The following is a 414-nucleotide window of genomic DNA, read 5'->3' as shown; positions in this document are numbered from 1 at the left end:
CACCTCTATGCAAATTTTGTGATATTTAAAAACAATATACATGATATGTTTGTTCCGTATATTTTTAATGATTCTTTCACAAGAGCTGGTTGGCCTTATTTCTTTACTCAAGCAGATTCTTAATGTCATAACATCAGCTAATTATCAGATACTGAAAGATAAAGTGAATGAATGTGTTTCAGTTTTTCTGGTTAATTCAGTTTTTCTGGTATATTTAATCTTATTTGTATAATCTTTAAGTTTTACTGAGGAAGACTAGAATACTTTTTTTAATTTTTGTCAAGTATAAAAGCATATTCATAATGTCACTTTTATAGACACTAAGAATATCAATTGTCAAGTGTGTTGATTTCTAAGATAAAATATTTGAGAATTACATTACCCAACATGTCCAAAAAATGTTTTTAAGTTGTC

The sequence above is a fragment of the Homo sapiens genome, chromosome Y (genome assembly GCF_000001405.40).
Source record: "Homo sapiens chromosome Y, GRCh38.p14 Primary Assembly".
Taxonomy (NCBI): Eukaryota; Metazoa; Chordata; class Mammalia; order Primates; family Hominidae; genus Homo; species Homo sapiens.
The sequence above is the reverse complement of the archived record's forward strand: the minus strand, read 5'-3'. Positions refer to the sequence as shown.